Here is a 19,345-nt window from a genome sequence, read left to right on the forward strand (position 1 = left end):
TTACATGGAAACCTCATATTCTAGGGAGTGACACAAGTAGGAAAAGGCAACCCAAAGTTACTTTTACCTTGGTCCTTATTCCTTATCTCCTTGGGTTTACAGAGATCTGTCTACATAAAATGGCAAAGAGGTTTGCATTGTAGTTTCTGTAAAGGGAATAGCTATGTAAAAAGAAGTAGTGATTGAGCATTAGGAAGGAAAACCAACATTTACGGATTTCAATTAGTGTTGCATCATTCTTGCATTTAACTTATGCACTGACTTGCAAGCCTACCCCAGTGTAGATATAACATCCTGGCATTTATCTTGTGTGCACTGCCCTAGGTGTTACCATATATATATATATATGTTTTATATATATTTTTTTCTCACTTAATTCCCCCAAAGATTCTGAGACAGGTTTTTGTAAATCTTACCTCAGGAAGCTAAAGCATGGAGAAATTTACCCAGAGCTGGAGCTTGAGGCTATATATTTTTTTTTTTCTGAGGATAGGGAGAGATGATACTGTGTATGGTAAACTTATTAATATTTGTTAATTCAGCCAACATTTTGTGTATACTGTATGCAAGATGCTAATAGATATGCTGGAGAAAATTAAGACAGTGAATGGATTTGATGCCCTGTGAAGCATAAGAGGTTACTGTTATTTCTAATTACTACAAGAATTCTTGCTTCTTGGTGCATAAGATCTACTGTGGGGAATAGTACAAGTGCTGACCATCTGACTTTAGAGCTGAACAGTTTGGGACTTGATCTCAGCTTCCCTATTCACTGGTTACTGGGAGCTTGTTTTCCTATCTGTAAGATAGAGGCAATAAAACCTAGCTTATCATGCGAGACTATTGAATGCAAGGAGAGAATATTAAAATTCATCCCAGTAAGTCCACTGTAGTCCTAGGCAGCATGACAGAGGTCACAGATCTTACAAGTAACATATCAATGGCAAGTTGGGGATAAGGATTTGGTTTTTAGGGTTTTACTTTCTGTTTTTGATGACTCTTATTTTTGAGAAAATGTGGAAGGAGTAAGTAGAAGAACAGTTTTTTTCAGTGCAACATCAGGCAAAAGAAAAGCAGATTTTTTTCAGATGGTTAAAGCCTATGGCAAAATAGCTAACTTTCTCTTTAAGGTGATTGGTAACCTGGAAAGGACAGCTGGCGTGGGCAGAAAACTTGTTCAAGACAAACACTGTCCCAGCATTTTTTAAATTCCAGACATTACCCTGGGGCAAACACCTCAACTTTTTCTTTCATACCACCTTCCAATATCTTACTCCTGAGCCTAGGGTGCTCAAACCAAACTCTGCTTCTGATGTGTTGTCAGTTTTCTCTAAAATCACTTATCTTCTGTGGGACTGGAGTCAGGCTGATGTGGAAGGCTCCCGCAAACCCTATTTAGGCTCTCTGGAGACAGAATGGGTGGTTGGAAATGGAAGGGGGAATGAGGGAAATTTAACCCCATAGAATATCTTCCCCATGAGAGTAGCTTAGCACTACACGAAGAAAGCTAAAAACCACAGACTTCCAGGGCTTGTCTGATACGCAGGTTCCCTTGAGTGCTCTAATAGGTATTAGAAATAATATGATAGGGAAACAAGCTCTTGTAGGGGAGGAAGAATCTTTTTCTCTACCTATCTTAGGTTCTCCGGCTGGGTCCTTGTGCATTAGACTGGCCAAAGACAGATGAACAAAAGTAAAGCAAGTTTATCAACACGTGCGTTGTTCATATAGGTAACATGGGAATACTCAGAGATAAGCAACTCAAAGATTTGGTTAGAACTTGGGTTTATACAGCATATTAGCCAAGGAACAATAAATTTTTAAAGAAATGACAAGATAAAGGATCTTGAGTCTCTAGGGGCAGCAAATTGTCGGAAAACAAATATATGGGAGACTAGTTGCAGATGAAGGCCAAATACTAAGGTTTATCATGTAGATTTTTCTTGTGTTGTCTCCAGGCTGACAGGGGTCTAAAATTGTCTCTGGTGATTAATCTTTGTCTTTCCTGGTAGAGCAGGAAGGAGGTACACCTTCGTAAACTTATATCCTGCTTTTTGGCAAATAGAGGGAGGGCAGAGTGCTTTTCTAGTACCGTGTACCTATTTGCTTCTTCCTAATTGCCTTCAGCTCAAAATAATCCTTAAACCAAAGTGGCATACACTGCCAATGCTCTTGAGTAGATTGAAGGCTCCAAAGTAAAAAGTGCTGTACTGTAGTATTGGATCTCCAAGCATCAGCAGTGAGTCAGGTATTACAATGCTGTTTTCAGTGAGTGTGCCATCCGTCTATGAGGAGAAATGAGAGGAGCTAGAAAAATAAACTGACAGCTAGAAAAATACTCCACTGAATCAACAAATAGACATTTCTTGAAACAGTAACATGCTCAATGTGCAATTTTGAAAAAGTAAACTGAGCAAGGATCATGAAACATGATGGTGGTGAGAATTTATACTTCTCAGGTAGCCAGGGGAAGCTAGGTTTCCACAGATTCCTTTGTCTTTCAGTCCTTTTGAAAACGGAGAAAAAGCAAGAGAAGAGGGACGGCACCATCAGGTAGAGTGGATCTCAGCTAGAATGAGGGGAAGTGGCCCAGAATCCAACCTCCTCCAAAGAGCTGTGTGACAGGCAAGTCCTATCCTTTCTGCACCTCTTTCCTTAAATGTAAGTTGAAGCATTTGGACCAGACTGTTTCAATGATCTTCTAGATTGCTTTTGCCAAAACAGAACTCTCCATTCCTGTAAGATAAGTACACAATGGCTCTCAGAGATCTAAAAACTGGCCTTGGTTACCTGCAAACTTTGAGGCCCCAAGGCACAAAAATAATAGCTTTTTTTTTTTATTTTTTTTTTTAAGGTTCATGAAAGCTTCGGACACAAAAGCTTATATGGTCTTCGTCTCTATAAATAAACCAGGGAGTAAAGAAAAACCCCGCTAGTTTCAGTAAAGCGTTGCTATTAAGCAAAGCAAACCTATGCAAATATCAAGTTCTTAATGAGGAGTGTTTCCTAAGGGGCCTGTCCTCTGGTACCCCGCCTCTCCTCTGCCACAGTCATGTGAAGGCAGACAGGCACACACTCGCACACTAGCACGCACTTGGGAGCTCAGGGAACATAACACTGGTTAGTGAGTCGGTGTCCCTCTCCCATCGATTGCAACTTTTCCCCTCCTTCCCTCTCCTGCCTCTCCCCACTTTCTACATCTCCGTTCTCAGGAAGGCTCAGGGAGGATCCCCCGCTGCGTGCACTGCGTTCTGAGAGGCCGGGGAGAGACTCTGGGCCCGCGGTCGGGGCGGAGCCAAGGTCCCAACCCACATTGAACGGGCTTGAGGATTACTTGGAGGGCTCAGGATCTAGGAGGAGGGCCCAGGGCACTGGGTTGGGGTTACTCTGGGAAAGCTCTGTGGGACCAGGTGGGACCTTAGGGCTGGAGATGGACTCTGCGAGCTGGGGGCGGAGTTCTAGACTGGCAGGAGCGGAGTTCTGGGTGGCGGGGGCGGGGTCGGGACCAGCAGGGACGGCCTCTGAGAGTTGGGGGCGGAATTCTGGGCCGGTGAGGGCTGGGGCGGGACCAGCAGGGGAGGCCTCCGCGAGCTAGGGGAGGAGCTCTGCATTGTCTGGGGCGGGGCTTCGAGTAGCGGTAGCGAGGTCTGGAGCCGCAGGCGCTGCCTCCGCGAGGTAGGGGAGGAGCTCTGTACTGTCAGGGGCGGGGCTCTGAGTAGCGAGGCCGGGTCTGAACTATCAGGCGCGGCCTCTGCGAGCTGGGGGCGGGGTTCTGCACCGGCGGGGGCGGGGTTGTGAGTGGTGGGGGCGGGGTCTGGAGCAGCAGGCGCCGCGTTTGCGAGCTAAGGTCGGAGTTCTGCACCGGCGGGGGCGGGGCTCTGCGTGGCCGGGGCGGGCTCGGGATCCGCGGGGCGACTCCCGGTCTGGCTTGGGCAGGCTGCCCGGGCCGTGGCAGGAAGCCGGAAGCAGCCGCGGCCCCAGTTCGGGAGACATGGCGGGCGTTAAAGGTACATCGCGGTCCCCGGCTCGCTTGTCGTGTGGTGGGGTTGCCACCTCCGTTCCGGTCAAGCCTGGGGCTGCGCCTTCCGCGCGCCGTTGGGGAACGGCCTCACCACCCTTCCCGCCTCTCCGGTTCGGGAGGCGATCGACCGCTCCCTTCGTCCCTTGGGGTGTGGGTGGAGCGGCGTTTCGGGGGAGCCTTGGCCCTTTTTGCAAGGCCGCTGGCCTTCCTGCTCTCCAGTGGCGGCACCAGACCCCTCCCCAGCCTGAGCCCTCGGCGAGAGCGGCGCCCTCCACCTCTCCTGAGTTTTTAAACAAGGTTTCCACTTCTTGACGCCACCCTAACGCCTTTCTTCTGGTTTTCTGCCCCTCCGCAGTTTCCTATTTGCCACAAAGGACCCTTTGTCTCCAGCGTTCTTAGCATTGGGAAACTTAATCCTCTTTTTCCTAATGATTTTTCCAACTGGGCAGAGTTGACCGCGGGCGGGTGTCAATGGAAAGCACCCAGAAAGACGGTGTTTCTCGCAGTCGTGGAGAGTAGATTACGTGTAATTTTAATACTGCTTTCTTCGGTGTTTTCTCTGTTTATGGACAGAGAAGAAACCAGTGTGTGTGTAGTATGTGTTTTTTGCATGGGGCAGTTGGTAAAAACACCGCGTCCCTTATCTGTATGGCTTCAGAGCAATGCGAGACGGAAAAGGTTTTTTGCAAGGCTTCCTGTATTTTGGTAGGAAAACATTCCATTTCTAATCTGTCGAATAGAGTAGCATGACTTGTTTTTATATTGGCTTTTATATCATCCTTGAAATTTGCACCCAAAGATATCCCCAGTTAACATCTGCTATAAACATGTAGATAGTATATATACGAGTACGCCTCTGTTCACTATGAATTTATCCGAGTATGTGAGCTGTTAGCAGCAGACATTTTATCGTTATTTCTGGCTGACTTTTATACTTAATATCAGTTTAGTAAACATGGTTTACTTGGAGAGTGTCGACTGTGTTATATATCCATTTGAAGCCAATGCCGAAAACAGATGAAAAGTAGTGTCTCAGTACTACACATGATCAGAAACTACCAAATCATGATCACGTTTATGTGTGAATGTGTTAGAAAATTGTGATGTAGTGAAAAAAAAGGAAGTCTGAAATGGAAACGGACTAAGGGAAGGAAGCATTTTACAGATTGTTCAACTTTTATTGAGGAACTACTGTATGCCAGAGACTTAGGATACAAAGATAAATGAGAAGTTATTGGTGGGTGACAGAGCTGGAAATAATTATATTACTATGTCAGTGTTTATGTTGGGCTCAGATGCGGTGGGAGAACAGATGGTGGGTTGGATTTTGTCCTCCAAAAAGATGTGTTCAAGCTCTAATTCCCTGGTACCTGTGAATGTGATCTTATTTGGAAGTAGTATCTTTGCAGATATAATCAAATTAAAATGATAACTGGTTTAAGGTGGGCCCTAATCCAATGACTGGTGTCCTTATAAGAAGAGGGGAATTTAGACATAGAGACATACAGGGAGAATACCATGGGAAGACGGAGACAGAAATTGGAGTGATGCAGCTACAAAGTCAGGAGCACCAAAGATTGTTGGCAACCATGCTGGCAACCACTGAGTGTTAGGAAGAGGCAAGGAAGGGTGCTTCCCTACAGCCTTCAGAGGGAGTGTGGTGGCGCTGCTGACACCTTGATTTCAGAAGTCCAGCCTCCAGAACTGTCAGAAGATAAATTTCTGTTGTTCTCAGCCATCCAGTTTGTGGTACTTTGTAACGGCAGCCCTAGGAAGCTGATGCAGGTGGGATTGATTCCCCTGCTCCAGAGAAAGGACTGTTTTCACAGAAGAGGCGATGCTTGAACTGAATCTGAAGGGATCAATGTGGCTTCCCTTGGCAAGGCATGGAGTGAAGGTGGAGTATATCCCAAGTGGGGAGGACAGCACGTGACATGGCGCAGGGCTTATGAAACAACATGCCTTCTTCTCTTCAGGTACTTAAGCTACATTAGTAAGACCAGAACTTAGTGGTGAGGGTTGAAGCTGGCTGGACAGGCAGTTAGGAGTGAGTCAGGCGATGGTGAGCCTCCGTGCCAGAACAACTTGTAGGCTGTGGAAGCAACCGCAAAGGGATGGCAGCGGTGATATATATAGTTGAAAGATCACTGTCTGCTGTGTAGAGGATGGATTGGAAGAGTCACAGAGGCAGGAATAAGAGGTTAAGGGCCTGCACCAGGGCTGTAGCAGAGAGTTTAAGAAGTCTGGGAGATTGAGTCACCTTGACCTACTGATTCATTGGAAGGTGGAATGCAATCATGGTGTCAGTCCTCTAAGATAGGACCTTTAAAGTGTAGGGATAGTGGTTTGGTTTTACACGTGTTACACATGTTGAATTTGAGGTTCTTGTTGGCGGTCAAGGCAGAGAAGTCCAGACTGGAGGTGGAAGTACAGGCCTAGTTCTTTAGGACCTACTCTGGGCTGGAGCATCAGTTGCGGCCGGGCCCTTGTGGTAGTAGGAGCTTTGGGTTGAACATAAGTTTTCAGCAGGAGTGCGTGGAGTGAAAAGAGAGATGGGGTTGGATTTTTGGTCAACTCCAACTTTAAGAGATTCAGAGGATGTGATTCCTGAAAAAAGAGGAAAAAAAAGACCAAAAAGAATCAAACAGAAAGATGGTTGTGAACGTTGAGAAACTGGTATCAGAACAGAAGGAAGAGGTCTGCAGTACCTAGCTTTGACAGGCCTCATGGAGGAGGGGGTACTGCCGATGGTCAGGCACAGAGGAGAGGAGCAAAGCCTGCTGGGAAAAGATCATCTGAATGAAATAGTATGTGGTATTTGCTTTCCATCCACACATGGGCATTTTCCATTAAAGAGTGGAAATGTAAAAAGATATGTTAAAATTGACAGTGTTTCTTTGTCCCTTAACATGTGTATACTTTCAGATGTTTTTTAAAAAGCACTTTGGCACCTTCCTATTAAAGAGTCTCTCTAAATCTTCTCTCAAGTAAAAGGAAGCAATCAAAAATGTTCATTGGCTTAATTAATTAGTTTAATACTAATTATGAGTATTATGGACTTTTTTCAGAAGAAAATTTGGATAAGATAGTCTCCTATGCTTTTGATTTCTACCTTTATCAAAGAACATTGCTAAAATGAGTAGATACCTGAGTCAGTCAGCATTTATTTGGCTACCTCCTTTTGCCAAGCACTTTACATAGATTATCTCATTTAATTCCCATAAGCTCAATAAGGTGGCACCATTATTTCCATTTTACAGGTGAGAAATCAGGTTCAGAGGATTAGCTTCTACCCAAAGTCATAAGACCAGATGGTGGCAGAGTTAAGATTTGACTCATGTTTGTGACTCAGAGCTCAAGATTTTGTAACAACCTTGATACTCTGTTTCTCACTCAGCAGCACAACAAGGGCAAATACGTTCCTACTCCCGCAGAGACTAGTGTCCAATAGATACAGGGAATACATATTTTATTCAGTGCACACTAGTTGGGAATTGTTTCCTACAAAGACATGAAAACAATCTTCAAATACTTGCAGTACTGTGGTTTGGGGAGGCAAAATGATCAAAGGTATATATTACAGGGAGGCAGTTCTGGATATAATTTAAAGAAGGAGGGCTTTCAACATTTAGAAGCTGTTGGAATTAAATGACTTGCCTTGGGAGGTAGTGAGTTTTCCTTCACTGGAGTTATGTGGACCAACTGGCTGCCCTCTGGTGACAAATACAGAGGGAATTCATCCATTGGATAGGGGTTAGGTACTGGAATTACTTGAGACCTTTGTATACTTTATGATTTCAAGGTGGCAGACATGGGTCATTGTCTTAATCAGTTTGGGCTACTATAAGAAATATATTTTAGACTGGGTGGCTTAAACAACAAACATTTAGTTTCCACAGTTCTGAAGACTGGGAAGTCCAAAATTGTGGTGCAGTCAGATCTGGTGTCTGGTGAGAGCCAGCTTCCTGGTTTGCAGGCCTGCTTTCTGCTCTCACATTGGAGAACAGAGGGAGAGAAACACAGAGAGAGTGTGTGCTCTACTTTCTCTCTTCTTATAAGGGCACTCATCCCATCGTGGAGACCCCACCCTCATGACCTCATCTGAACCTAATTATCTCCCAAAGGTCCACCTCCTGATAGCATCTCACGGTGAGAGGGATGGAGCCGGGAAGGTTTCAACATGTGAATTTGAAAGGGACACACATAATGCAGTCTGTAACGGGTCAAATGTAACCTCAATAAAATGAGTAAATTGCTACATTTGCTTGAATTTGGGACCTTTTTTTCTTTCTTTTTTATTTTAGTAAATGTTTTTATTGATAAATGATTCACATACCATAAAATTAACATTCTTAAAGTGTAAGATTTCATGGTTTTTAGTATATTCAGAAGGTTATGCAGCCATCACTACTATCTAATTCCAGAAAATTTACTCATCCGCCAAAGAAACTCTGGACCTATTAGAAGTCACTCCCCATTTCCCCAAACCCTCTAGTGCCTGACAACCTCTACTGTGGGAACTTTAACTTTTGGCTTTATTTTTCACAGCTCTCGTGGCATTATCCTTCAGTGGGGCTATTGGACTGACTTTTCTTATGCTGGGATGTGCCTTAGAGGATTATGGGTAAGTTATCATTTCAAAAAGAACTATTCCTCTTTCTGTGTCTTTGTCACTATTAGTATGGGTGTTAGAGAGTTCGGTCAATTTAGCACCAAGTTCTAACCAGTGAGTTAGTGGAGCCCAGTTTATGAACACAGTCCCTTTGTGGGTCAGGTGTACTTTTGCAGAGGGCTCTGTTAAAAATTGATGTATTCATTCCATAAGCATTTGTTTAACACCTACTCTGGACTAGCTGGGGACACACAAATGAAGAGAGAGTCCTGTCCTCAAAGAGGAGGTAAAGTTCTAGTTGTGAGTGAGAGACAGGCAAACGGTCTAGTCAGTAATCTGGCAGCTGCAGTGGAGATGCCAGCACAGTACGCTGGAGCTCGGATAAAGTGCACCTGAGTTTCAGTGGGACAGTCAGGGAAGGCTGCATGGCAGAGGTTGTATCTGAGCCAAGACTAGGTGGATGAATAAGAGTTTTTCAGGGTGATGAGTCAGGGGAGGACATTCCAGGCAGAGGGAACATTCTACACATTTTTTCATTCAACCATTGTTGGTTGAATGCTTCCCATGTGCCAGCTACTGTTATGGGAACTAGGGATTAAGACATAAGAAAACAAAGGTCCTGCTCTCTCAGAGTTTGTGTTTCAGTGGGGGAGACGGACAGTAAACAACAAAAGTATGCATACTGTCAGAGGTAGAAATGGTACAAAAGATGAAGAGCACAGAAGCTGGGAAGACAGTGGTCAGGGAGGGCCTCTCAGAGGAGGTAAAAAGTGAGAAGAAATGTCAAGAAAATCAGCAAGCAGGCCATACAGATCTCTAGGGAAAAAGCACTTTAGGCACCAGGAAAGCTGAATGCTAAGGCCCGGAGACATGAAAGTGTATATAGCCTTTTCAGGAAACCACACATGGTACATTATGGTACAGCATAAATTGTAGTGGAGTGGCAAAAGAAGGGTTAGTCAAGAGTGTAAAAGTCAGCACTTAGGGCTCTATATGCCTGCCGTGTAGAGGAGGTTCCATTTTATACATCAGACAATAGAACCTGGGAAAATATCTTGAGAATGGGTTTGGAGGAGGGGGTTATGTTAAAATGTCATTCTTGCCATAACGTGAGACTAGATAGGAAAGAGCTGAGACTGCAGTCAGGGAGAATAGTAGGGGACTACTATCATAAATCAAGCAAAATTGAGGGCTGGGGCAGTAGGAATGGAAAGAAAAGGAGAGTGAGTTAGGAAACCAAACCAACCAACAGGTTTTGTTCATCGATGTCAGGATTCAACAAGGAGGGAGAGTTCTTAGATGTCTCCCAGGTGATTGGCTTGAACAACTAGATAGAAGATGATGTGATTAGGCCAGGCACCATGGCTCACGCCTGTAATCCCAGCACTTTGGGAGGCTGAGGCGGGCAGATCACGAGGTCAAGAGATCGAGACCATCCTAGGCAACATGGTGAAACCCCATCTCTACTAAAAATACAAAAAATTAGCTGGGCGTGGTGGCACACGCCTGTATTCCCAGCTACTTAGGAGGCTGAGGCAGGAGAATTGCTTGAACACAGGAGGTGGAGGTTGTAGTGAGCCAAGATCGTGCCACTGCACTCTAGCCTGGCGACAGAGCAAGACTTTGTCTCCAAAAAAAAAAAAAAGATGATGATGATGTGGTTAAGACCTATTGAAGTGAGTTATTATGACAGTGATGAATTCAAATCCATCACCGCAGTCCTGGCCAACTATTACAGAAATTGTTTAAACCCAAGAGGGATCCAGATATAAGCGGTCACTTATATTTGTTTAGAGCCTTCACAGCAATTACTTTATTCTAGCTTTTGGAATGTAATACGGTATTATTATCCTCATTTCTCGCTGGGAAACCAAAGCCCAGGGTAGTTAAAGACTTACCCAGATTGAACAGCAGTAAGTGACAGAGCCCGGCCGTGGTGGCTCATGCCTATAATCCCAGCACTTTGGGAGGCAACGGTAGGAGGATTGCTTGAAGCCAGGAGTTTGAGACCAGTCTGGGCAACAAAGTGAGACCCCATTCTACAAAAAACTAAAATAAGCCAGGCATGGTGCCTGTAGCAGGGTTGGGAGGCTGAGGTGGGAAGATTGGTTGAGCCCAGGGGTTGGAGGCTGCAGTGAGCTGTGATCACACCACTGCAGTCCAGCCTGGGCGACAGAGTGAGACTTTGTCTCTTAAATAAAAAAGTAGAAAAAAAATTAAAATGGCAGACATGGAAATGGAGCTCATGTTCTGACGCCCTTGACCAAACGTTTTTCCACTATTCCACAACCAACTGTAAATCTAGGAGTTTTAATTCTCTGTGATACACTGTCTTTGTAAGGTAAGAAAATGACTCATTACTGCTACTACAAATAAGTTTGTTTTCTATCTTTATTTTAATTTTTTGTTTTTTAGAGATGCCACAACACCCAGCTGATTTTTTTTAGAAGTTTTTGTAGAGACCGAGTCTCTCTGTGTTGCTCAGGCTGGTCTTGAACTCCTGGCCTCAAGTCATCCTCCTGCCTTGGCCTCCCAAAGCTGTATCTTGATAGTGAACCAGGATTATCATCTATATTGGAAGTCAGCAAACTGCCACATATAACCTGCTACCTGTTTTTGTAATAAAGGTTTTATTGAAATACAGCCATGCTCATTTGTTTATGAATTATCTTTGGCTGCTTTTGCATTGCTCTGCCAATTATCTTTGGCAGAGTTGAGTAGTTGAGATAGTCTTTATGGCTTGCAGATCCTCGTTATTTACTCTTTGGCCCTTTATAGAAAAAGTTGGCCCACCCCTGGCCTATGTATTTATTGAATTGTATATATTTAATATTTACATTTTATATATAAACAAGGTTTCTTGTACATTAATATTTCTCTTAGTTGGATATCGGTGGCTTACTATGAATGAAAACATAGAGTCAGATTGTTTTTCACAAAACTGTCACTGTATTCCAGGAAAAATTAAGAGTTCTTGGCTGTGGATATGTAAGGTGACATATCTATTCCAAACCCCTTCCCCTCTCTGTGTCTCCTTTCTCACTGTTGAAAGAAGGGCTTTGAAGTAGAGAATGTCTAAGGGCTACTTCCCACAATATTGTTTGGTGATTCTTGAAACATACTATCATCCCTCTAGTTTAAAATCAGGGGTCCAAATCCACTGTTTCCATCCTGAGTCCTCTTGAAGGACACATTCCCTTCTTGCCTTTTGGTTGCCTAGATCTGTGGCTGGAATGGGAGGCTTTCATTAGTGTGGCTTCATCCCAACTCCTGCTTGTAGGTGCTGTCTGGGCGTATCTGTGTGATTACAGTATTGTGGTGATATGAATTATTGTAGTGTATATATAAAAATGAGCAGAGACTTTTTTTTTCTTAAGAAATGAAGCATAAGAAATGTCTGATGGAGAAAAAAAGATTATTTTTGAAGTACTGATAGAGAAAATACTGTTGGAAACCAGATGGCAATTTTTTTTTTATAATTGCAAAATGTTGAAATTTGGGAGGAAAACAGTTTTGTTTTGTTTTTGCATTACACTATTAATTGTGAGCTCTTATAATGAAGATCAAAGTACATCTAAGCTTTTCACTAGTGAGCATATTTATTTTCATGCCTTCCGTACTTAAAATTTATTTATTATTTTATTCATTTAACAAGTATAAATGGAGTACATCATTCTAGGCCCTGGAGATAAATGGCGTTTGATCAAGACTAATCTATCAGATGGGAATAAGTGTTGTGCAGAAAGTTCAAAGAGGGTGGTATGTTCGAGGGTGACCTGGGGTACATTAGAATAGATGACCAGGGAAAGTTCTGCTTTTAGAAAGGAATCTGTCAGTTTAGATCACATGGTATGAAGGAGTCAGCCAATGAGAAGATCATGGGGAAGGACATTGCAAGCAGGGGGCACAGCTAGCGCAAAGGCCCCAGGATAACAGCTATGAGCTCAAGAGTGTTCAAGGGACAGAAAAAAGGCTGGTGTGGCTACAGATTAAGCAAATGAAGGGAAAAGAGTACAAAATGAATGGAAGAAGTAGATAATACCAGACCATAAAGGCTTTGTAGGCTAGGGCAAGGAATTTAGGGTTTATTCTAAGCTCTTAAAAGGTTTCAAGCATGCGTGCACTCAAAAGATCTTTACCGAACTAGCTTTTGCAAGACACTCTACTATGTTCTATAGGGAAGGCAGAAATGACCAAGTTAAAATTCTGTCTTTAAAGAAATTGTGGCTCAGTGGTACAGAAAACAGTAAAGTTTCTAGGGTATATATTATATAGTGGCTTCTTAACACAATATAAGCTACCTACATAGTAATTTTAAAATTATCACTACTTATCTATCCCTGGTAGAAATCATCTTATGTTCTAATATTCACAATTAATTAATTTTTTGACCTAAACATTTAAAATAGCAATGATTTTGAAATAGTAGTATGTCTTTCATTTAAAATGTAACTGTTACTTTTCTTTTTGGATTTTGCCTGGGTCCAACTGACAGCGTTTACTGGCCCTTATTCGTCCTGATTTTCCACGCCATCTCCCCCATCCCCCATTTCATTGCCAAAAGAGTCACCTATGACTCAGATGCAACCAGTAGTGCCTGTCGGGAACTGGCATATTTCTTCACTACTGGAATTGTTGTTTCTGCCTTTGGATTTCCTGTTATTCTTGCTCGTGTGGCTGTGGTAAGTTTTATTTTCTATTGTTTTGCCCAACCGTTGCTGAGTTTACTTCAGAGGCCTGTGTCTGGGACCTCCATTTCATGCTCATTACTTAGGCTTTATACTCAAGGCCGTGTGTTTTTAGTTTCTCTGTTCCTCTACTTTAGACCTGCCTAACAGTAGTTCGGCCATGCCTTCAGAGTGCTTTCTTTATTTCTCTTACAACTTTTAGCCAGACGATATGATTTCTTACTTTTTCTACTTTAAGCTATTCTCTGGAATTGTTCTTAAATTCCTGCCTCTTAAATCTTACAGTAATCCACAGATACTATGCTAGCAGTACTTTTCTAGTTGCAAGATGAAGATATTTCAAATTCTTCTCCTGCAAATGGGATCATGGACTCAACTCTCAACTCAGTATAATAGGTATATGTTGAGGGACAACTGTGTAGCTTCCAGAAAATGCAGTGAATAAGTTGACATCTTCACTTCCAAGACAAAAACTTTCTTTTTGTCTTCAGAGTACACATTGTAGGTATAATTTATTCAATTATTTGCTATTCACTGTCTTTCCTACTATTTGATTTTATTCCCTCCAATTACGTTCTATTTTAATTTTATGAAACTCTTATTTGAGGCATTGAATATCAGATAAGCGCAAGTCTTGTTCATTCAATAAATATCTTTGCAACAACTGCTACTTGTAAAACACCAGAAATAAGAAATAGGTACTGTCTCTGCTCCTGAGGAACACAGAAACTAGCTTGCTGGGTAAGTATACTATAAGTGTACTAAGTGAGACGGTTGAAGCATGATCAGAATGCCATAGGGGCACCAAGAAGAGAGAAATTCCGACTGGCATTTGATATGGGCCTCTAAGGATAAATAGCATTTGTATTGAGGTAGGATGGCTGTTGTATGGAATGACATTCAAGTGTAAGAATGCAGTATATAGAATAAAGAAGAATCCAGTGTGGTAGAGCTAAAAGAAAGTTGTTGAGGTTAAGGCTGGAAGGGTTGTGAAACCTGATTAGCAATGGTCTTGAACCCCATGCCAGTTTGATCTTTGTCTAGATAATGGGGAAAGATTGAAGGTTTTTGAATACAACAAGATTGTCATGACTTTATTTTTCTTGTGCTTTAGACCAGCCCTTCTTAAGCGCTGCAGTAAATATTTATATTTTTTCCTTTCAATACTGCCATCATATTTTGTGAAGAAACTTTCATTGATGTTTCTCTTGCTTAAAGTAAAACAAAAAATGCCCACTAGAGGGTACTCTCACCCCCAAATGTGCTTCTGTAAAACCATCTACAAACCATCTACTAAGCTGGAAAGCAGTTTTCAGTTGTATGAAGACTATTATTTAAAGTCTTTTCTTGCCTAGAAAAGAAACACACAAATTTATAACTCTACAATTTTTATTTTCCATGAAAGAAGTTGATGTGTGCAGAACTTTCAGTACCCAATATTGTAATTGCACTATTTATAATCTTACCACTTGAGTTTTACTTAAGGCAATCATTGTCAATTAAAAACAAGTAGAGAAATATGTCTAATTGGGAACATGTTAAGGATGATACCAGACTTAATTAACAAGCATCACAGAAGTAATTAGACTCATTACTGAACAGTTCATTGTCTCCTGTTACATTATTAAGCCTTTTAGCAGCTTTGTGTAACATTTCATTGGATGTTTCTAATGCAGAAAATAATAGGGATTGCAAAGAGTACAATATGAAGGAAGTAAGGATTTAATCCTTCTTTTCTTGTCTTTCAGATCAAATGGGGAGCCTGCGGCCTTGTGTTGGCAGGCAATGCAGTCATTTTCCTTACAATTCAAGGGTTTTTCCTTATATTTGGAAGAGGAGATGATTTTAGCTGGGAGCAGTGGTAGCACTTTATTCTGATTACAGTGCATTGAATTTCTTAGAACTCATACTATCTGTATACATGTGCACATGCGGCATTTTACTATGAAATTTAATATGCTGGGTTTTTTAATACCTTTATATATCATGTTCACTTTAAGAAAGACTTCATAAGTAGGAGATGAGTTTTATTCTCAGCAAATAGACCTGTCAAATTTAGATTATGTTACTCAAATTATGTTACTTGTTTGGCTGTTCATGTAGTCACGGTGCTCTCAGAAAATATATTAACGCAGTCTTGTAGGCAGCTGCCACCTTATGCAGTGCATCGAAACCTTTTGCTTGGGGATGTGCTTGGAGAGGCAGATAACGCTGAAGCAGGCCTCTCATGACCCAGGAAGGCCGGGGTGGATCCCTCTTTGTGTTGTAGTCCATGCTATTAAAAGTGTGGCCCACAGACCAAGAGCCTCAACATTTCCTAGAGCCTTATTAGAAATGCAGAATCTGAAGCCCCACTCTGGACCCAGGACATTTTGATGAGATCCAAAGGAGTTGTATGCACATGAAAGTTTGAGAAGCATCATCATAGAGAAGTAAACATCACACCCAACTTCCTTATCTTTCCAGTGGCTAAACCACTTAACCTCTCTGGGTGTTACCTGCTCATTTGTTTAAAAAAAAAAAAAAAGTCTCACCTGCTTTCATGCTGAGGACAAGTTCAGATGTTCAAGCCTATAATATTTAGGCAGTTCCTCAAATTTATGAAAAGTGTTCTCAGAATTGGGAGACAGTCAAAGGGTACAAAGCCTCAGTTAGGAGGAATAAGTGTGATTTTTTTTTAAAGATCACTTGCACAGCATGCTAAATATAGGAATAATTGAATGTATATTTCAATATTGCTAAGAGAGTAAATTTCTAATGTTCTCATAAAAAAGTTAAATATTTGAGATCATATGTTAATTAGTGTAATCATTCCACCTTATATTCAAAAATCATAAAACCGTATTGTACCCTATAAAAATATACAATAATTTGTCAATATATAATCAAAATAAAAAACAAAACATACTCTCTCCCCCAAAAAAACATCTCAGTGGGGAACAGATGTATCTTTTCATCTGAAAGACAATGCTGGGGGAAGAGCTCCACTGAGATGCGGGCAGGGAGGCTGGGCTCGAGCCAGCCCCTGCGTTAGCAGGAGGGGGAGAACAGATAGGTAACTCTTTTACATTTCCTTTATGATCTGGCACTTCTCCCCAGCTCCTTCCCTCTGCCCCCCACCCCTACTCCTCAACAGTTCTGGTTTGCCCTGACTTCTCTACGGCTCTGGCTTCTTCCCGAAGAGATATAGGAGCCATGTAAGCACGCAGTGGGTGAACTGCTTAATTTCACTACGTGTTGATGTACTTGTCTTCCGTCCTGTAGGTCTTTTCTATATAACTTTATGCCACCCTTAAATGAATCATTGGGTATACCTGTCATGTTGGATCCTGTAATCACAGTTTTCCCTGCTCACCTTTTTGTCTAAGATCTATTGAGAAAGGGAAATATGGGAAGGAGAACCATTTGATCAGAATACAACCAATAGTCTTTAAGCATTGTTAAAGTATGAAACTGAAATACATTCAAAACACTTAATCCTTGAGGCTTGTGATCTGAGTAATTAGCAGGTATGATGCTGGGACTGGAAAATAGAAAGTAATAACTAAAGGGTTAATGTGCAACGTTATTTTTTGGCCTTGTTCATGATTTTATGTTTTCAGTGTCCTGTGTACATATAGAATTGTTAAAGTTGTCATTTCCAATATTTATATTAGAAAAATTATTTAGATACTTTATAATTTTAACCGGCATTTTTAATAATGACACTTGCATTTATTGTATTGTAATAAATTTCACTTTTAACTTTAAAAGTTTAACTTTAAAATTTTTTTGTGATGTTGCCTTGCCTGAAAAGATAACAAAAATGAGAGAATTTCTTGATGTTTTAAAATGGGCAGTTTTGAGCAATAATCTGTCCTAACAGAACAGTAGCAATAAGTTTTAGGATACCATCTTGAATGTCTAGTTGGTGTGCAATAGCTTTTCTTTCTAAGATGGCAATAATGATTCATTTCTACTACATTTTGCAAAAGTGTTTTTGTTGCTTATACACATTTTCAATAACCAAGGTAGCCTTCATATGTAGCCTTAAAGCATTACCTCTTGATTGTATCTTTAGATTGATATAAAGTACTTGCATATAGAGTATTTGAAGTGATAGATTATTAGATTTGCTCTATGTCTGAAAAGAGAGCTATTCTGCAGTGCCTAAATATCATTTAAACAGTAAATATTAATAGGAAATATTGCTATATCTGAATATATAATACAAAAGTTTGATCATGGTGACACAAATGTTGGACATTTTTTTCCTTATAAAAGGCTCTTTTTTTATATATTGTACAATATATTTGGAGATTCAGAGCATAGTGACTATAGTCGAAAACTGAGATTGCACTTCCAAAATTGGCCACAAGTAAATAATCTTATGAAGGGATTCTTTATCATGTTTCAAACAAGTGGGTTACAAGCAGACTTTGAGACACTTTTCCACAGAAACAATACTATGAATTGGTGATTGAGTTCCCAGGCCAAGCCTCCCTCAACAGGTTCAACTCTAATATACCTAACCTGTGATACTGAAGGTGCCTGCCTGAGTTTTGGGTCTCTGAGACAGGGTAGTGTGAGTAGTTTGGAGGAAGGACAGTGCAACTTTCCACCCCTTTTCCTAAGAACAAGGTCTTTCTCCTTTTAATTTTTCCACTCATTTTCACCTCCTAATGCCCTTGAGATCCAGGTACACTCCTGGGAGTTTTGTTCACCTCTCCCAACTGAGAACCTTCCCACTGGGCTCCATCCTCCCTCCTGAGGTTCTTCATATTCCAGAGTCACCCACCCTTCTCCTCCCATTAGTCAGTTCTCTAAGTACAGCTGATGTCATGTGGTGCTGAGAAGAAAGCAGATCACACTTCATCACAGAAAGAATGCCTTGTGATTATCTTCTCCACATCTGAAATTCCTTTTGACACCTGCATTGGGCCGACTGCCATTCCCATGACTGCTGCACCTGCGTTTTTAGAGAATGCCTCATAACCCACTGATTCTCATTCACAGAGAATGGGAGAACGGAATGAAGAAAGATTCCAGCAGCTTATAGAAGGATAGCAATATTTTGGGACAGGGAAAATCCTGTCATACCTCATCTCTTCCTCAGGAGGAGTTCTGAGCTGGTCCTGCTTTTCATAGTTGTTTCTTTTCTTCCACTTAAGAACTCATAGATTTTTCTTACTGTCCTAAGGAAGTCCTTACCTCTGAGGTATCTCCTCAATGAATACTGTTTTCAAGGCTGAAATAGTTCATTATGTTAATAACCTTCTTTATGTTCTCAGGGAAATGCTTAGGTGGTGTCACAAAATGTGCCTTTTCTTTTCTTTTTTTTTTTTTTTTTTTGAGGCAGAGTCTCGCTCTGTTGCCCAGGCTGGAGTGCAGTGGTGCGATCTTGGCTCACTGCAAGCTCCGCCTCCCGGGTTCACGCCATTCTCCTGCCTCAGCCTCCCAAGGAGCTGGGACTACAGGCTCCCGCCACCACGCCTGGCTAATTTTTTTGTATTTTTAGTAAAGACGGGTTTCATCGTGTTAGCCAGGATGGTCTCGATCTCCTGACCTCATGATCCGCCCGCCTCTGCCTCCCAAAGTGCTGGGATTACAGGCCTGAGCCACTGTGCCCAGCCAAAATGTGCCTTTGCAAAGTTTGCGAAATCAGATTTTGTATCCCAATAGAACCAAAATATTTATGAGGATGCTAGCATTTTCCAAGCATAGTAATTAGTTCACAACTGAGAAATATTATGTCTGTAGTAGATAAATATTAGTTGTGCATTTTAATTTAATTCTCCTTTTTCCATTTTGTCTCATGAAGTACCTTATTGCAAAAATCCCACTGAGTAATAGCTCATAAATTATAATCTTTCAAATAGCCATGCTACCAGCGTACAACAGTGATACATGTAACCCCAAATGTGATGTGAGAGGACGATTACTTTGTAAATAAAACTTGTTATTGACATTTTAACAAAGGCTTTTATGTACATTATTAAATGAAAAAGTTTATATTTTACTTTGCGGTACGTTACATTTGGAAAG

General features: G+C 41.6%; 2 protein-coding genes across 6 annotated transcripts in view, besides 6 other annotated features; both read left to right on the forward strand.

Annotated features, from left to right (window-relative positions):
* Positions 3,249-3,781: an enhancer, noted in NCBI's record as "H3K27ac hESC enhancer chr1:65885665-65886197 (GRCh37/hg19 assembly coordinates)". NCBI's record gives its function as "activates a minimal SCP1, AML or CMV promoter by ChIP-STARR-seq in primed H9 embryonic stem cells {active_cell/tissue: H9 hESC(primed)}" and the evidence as "EXISTENCE:reporter gene assay evidence [ECO:0000049][PMID:30033119]".
* Positions 3,249-4,315: a biological region, named in NCBI's record as "H3K27ac hESC enhancers GRCh37_chr1:65885665-65886197 and GRCh37_chr1:65886198-65886731".
* Positions 3,429-3,498: a silencer, noted in NCBI's record as "silent region_971". NCBI's record gives its function as "represses an Ori minimal core promoter by ATAC-STARR-seq in GM12878 lymphoblastoid cells {active_cell/tissue: GM12878}" and the evidence as "EXISTENCE:reporter gene assay evidence [ECO:0000049][PMID:35858748]".
* Positions 3,519-4,018: a silencer, noted in NCBI's record as "silent region_972". NCBI's record gives its function as "represses an Ori minimal core promoter by ATAC-STARR-seq in GM12878 lymphoblastoid cells {active_cell/tissue: GM12878}" and the evidence as "EXISTENCE:reporter gene assay evidence [ECO:0000049][PMID:35858748]".
* Positions 3,782-4,315: an enhancer, noted in NCBI's record as "H3K27ac hESC enhancer chr1:65886198-65886731 (GRCh37/hg19 assembly coordinates)". NCBI's record gives its function as "activates a minimal SCP1, AML or CMV promoter by ChIP-STARR-seq in naive H9 embryonic stem cells {active_cell/tissue: H9 hESC(naive)}" and the evidence as "EXISTENCE:reporter gene assay evidence [ECO:0000049][PMID:30033119]".
* The window catches only part of LEPR (leptin receptor), a 220,908-nt gene continuing 205,481 nt past the window's right edge, over positions 3,919-19,345 (forward strand). For 2 of the 3 annotated variants that reach the window (NM_001003679.3, NM_001003680.3), the window contains exons 1-2: positions 3,919-4,007; positions 8,570-8,645. The gene's annotated coding sequence lies outside the window, so the exon portion shown is untranslated. The remainder of the gene's footprint in view (positions 4,008-8,569; positions 8,646-19,345) is intronic. The other variant, NM_002303.6, reaches the window with a different exon arrangement.
* Positions 3,935-19,274, forward strand: LEPROT (leptin receptor overlapping transcript). 3 transcript variants are annotated; one of them, NM_001198681.2, is made up of 5 exons: positions 3,935-4,007; positions 4,595-4,726; positions 8,570-8,645; positions 13,129-13,315; positions 15,070-19,274. In NM_001198681.2, exons 2-5 carry the CDS (start codon positions 4,684-4,686, stop codon positions 15,184-15,186), a joined length of 423 nt encoding a protein of 140 aa, NP_001185610.1. In that variant the 5' UTR covers positions 3,935-4,007; positions 4,595-4,683; the 3' UTR covers positions 15,187-19,274. The 3 variants fall into 3 exon arrangements, with proteins under 3 accessions (NP_001185610.1, NP_059996.1, NP_001185612.1); NM_017526.5 differs by lacking the exon at positions 4,595-4,726; NM_001198683.2 differs by lacking the exons at positions 4,595-4,726; positions 13,129-13,315; positions 15,070-19,274 and adding an exon at positions 11,049-11,276.
* Positions 4,389-4,438: an enhancer, noted in NCBI's record as "active region_1144". NCBI's record gives its function as "activates an Ori minimal core promoter by ATAC-STARR-seq in GM12878 lymphoblastoid cells {active_cell/tissue: GM12878}" and the evidence as "EXISTENCE:reporter gene assay evidence [ECO:0000049][PMID:35858748]".

This window comes from Homo sapiens, chromosome 1, assembly GCF_000001405.40.
Source record: "Homo sapiens chromosome 1, GRCh38.p14 Primary Assembly".
NCBI lineage: Eukaryota > Metazoa > Chordata > Mammalia > Primates > Hominidae > Homo > Homo sapiens.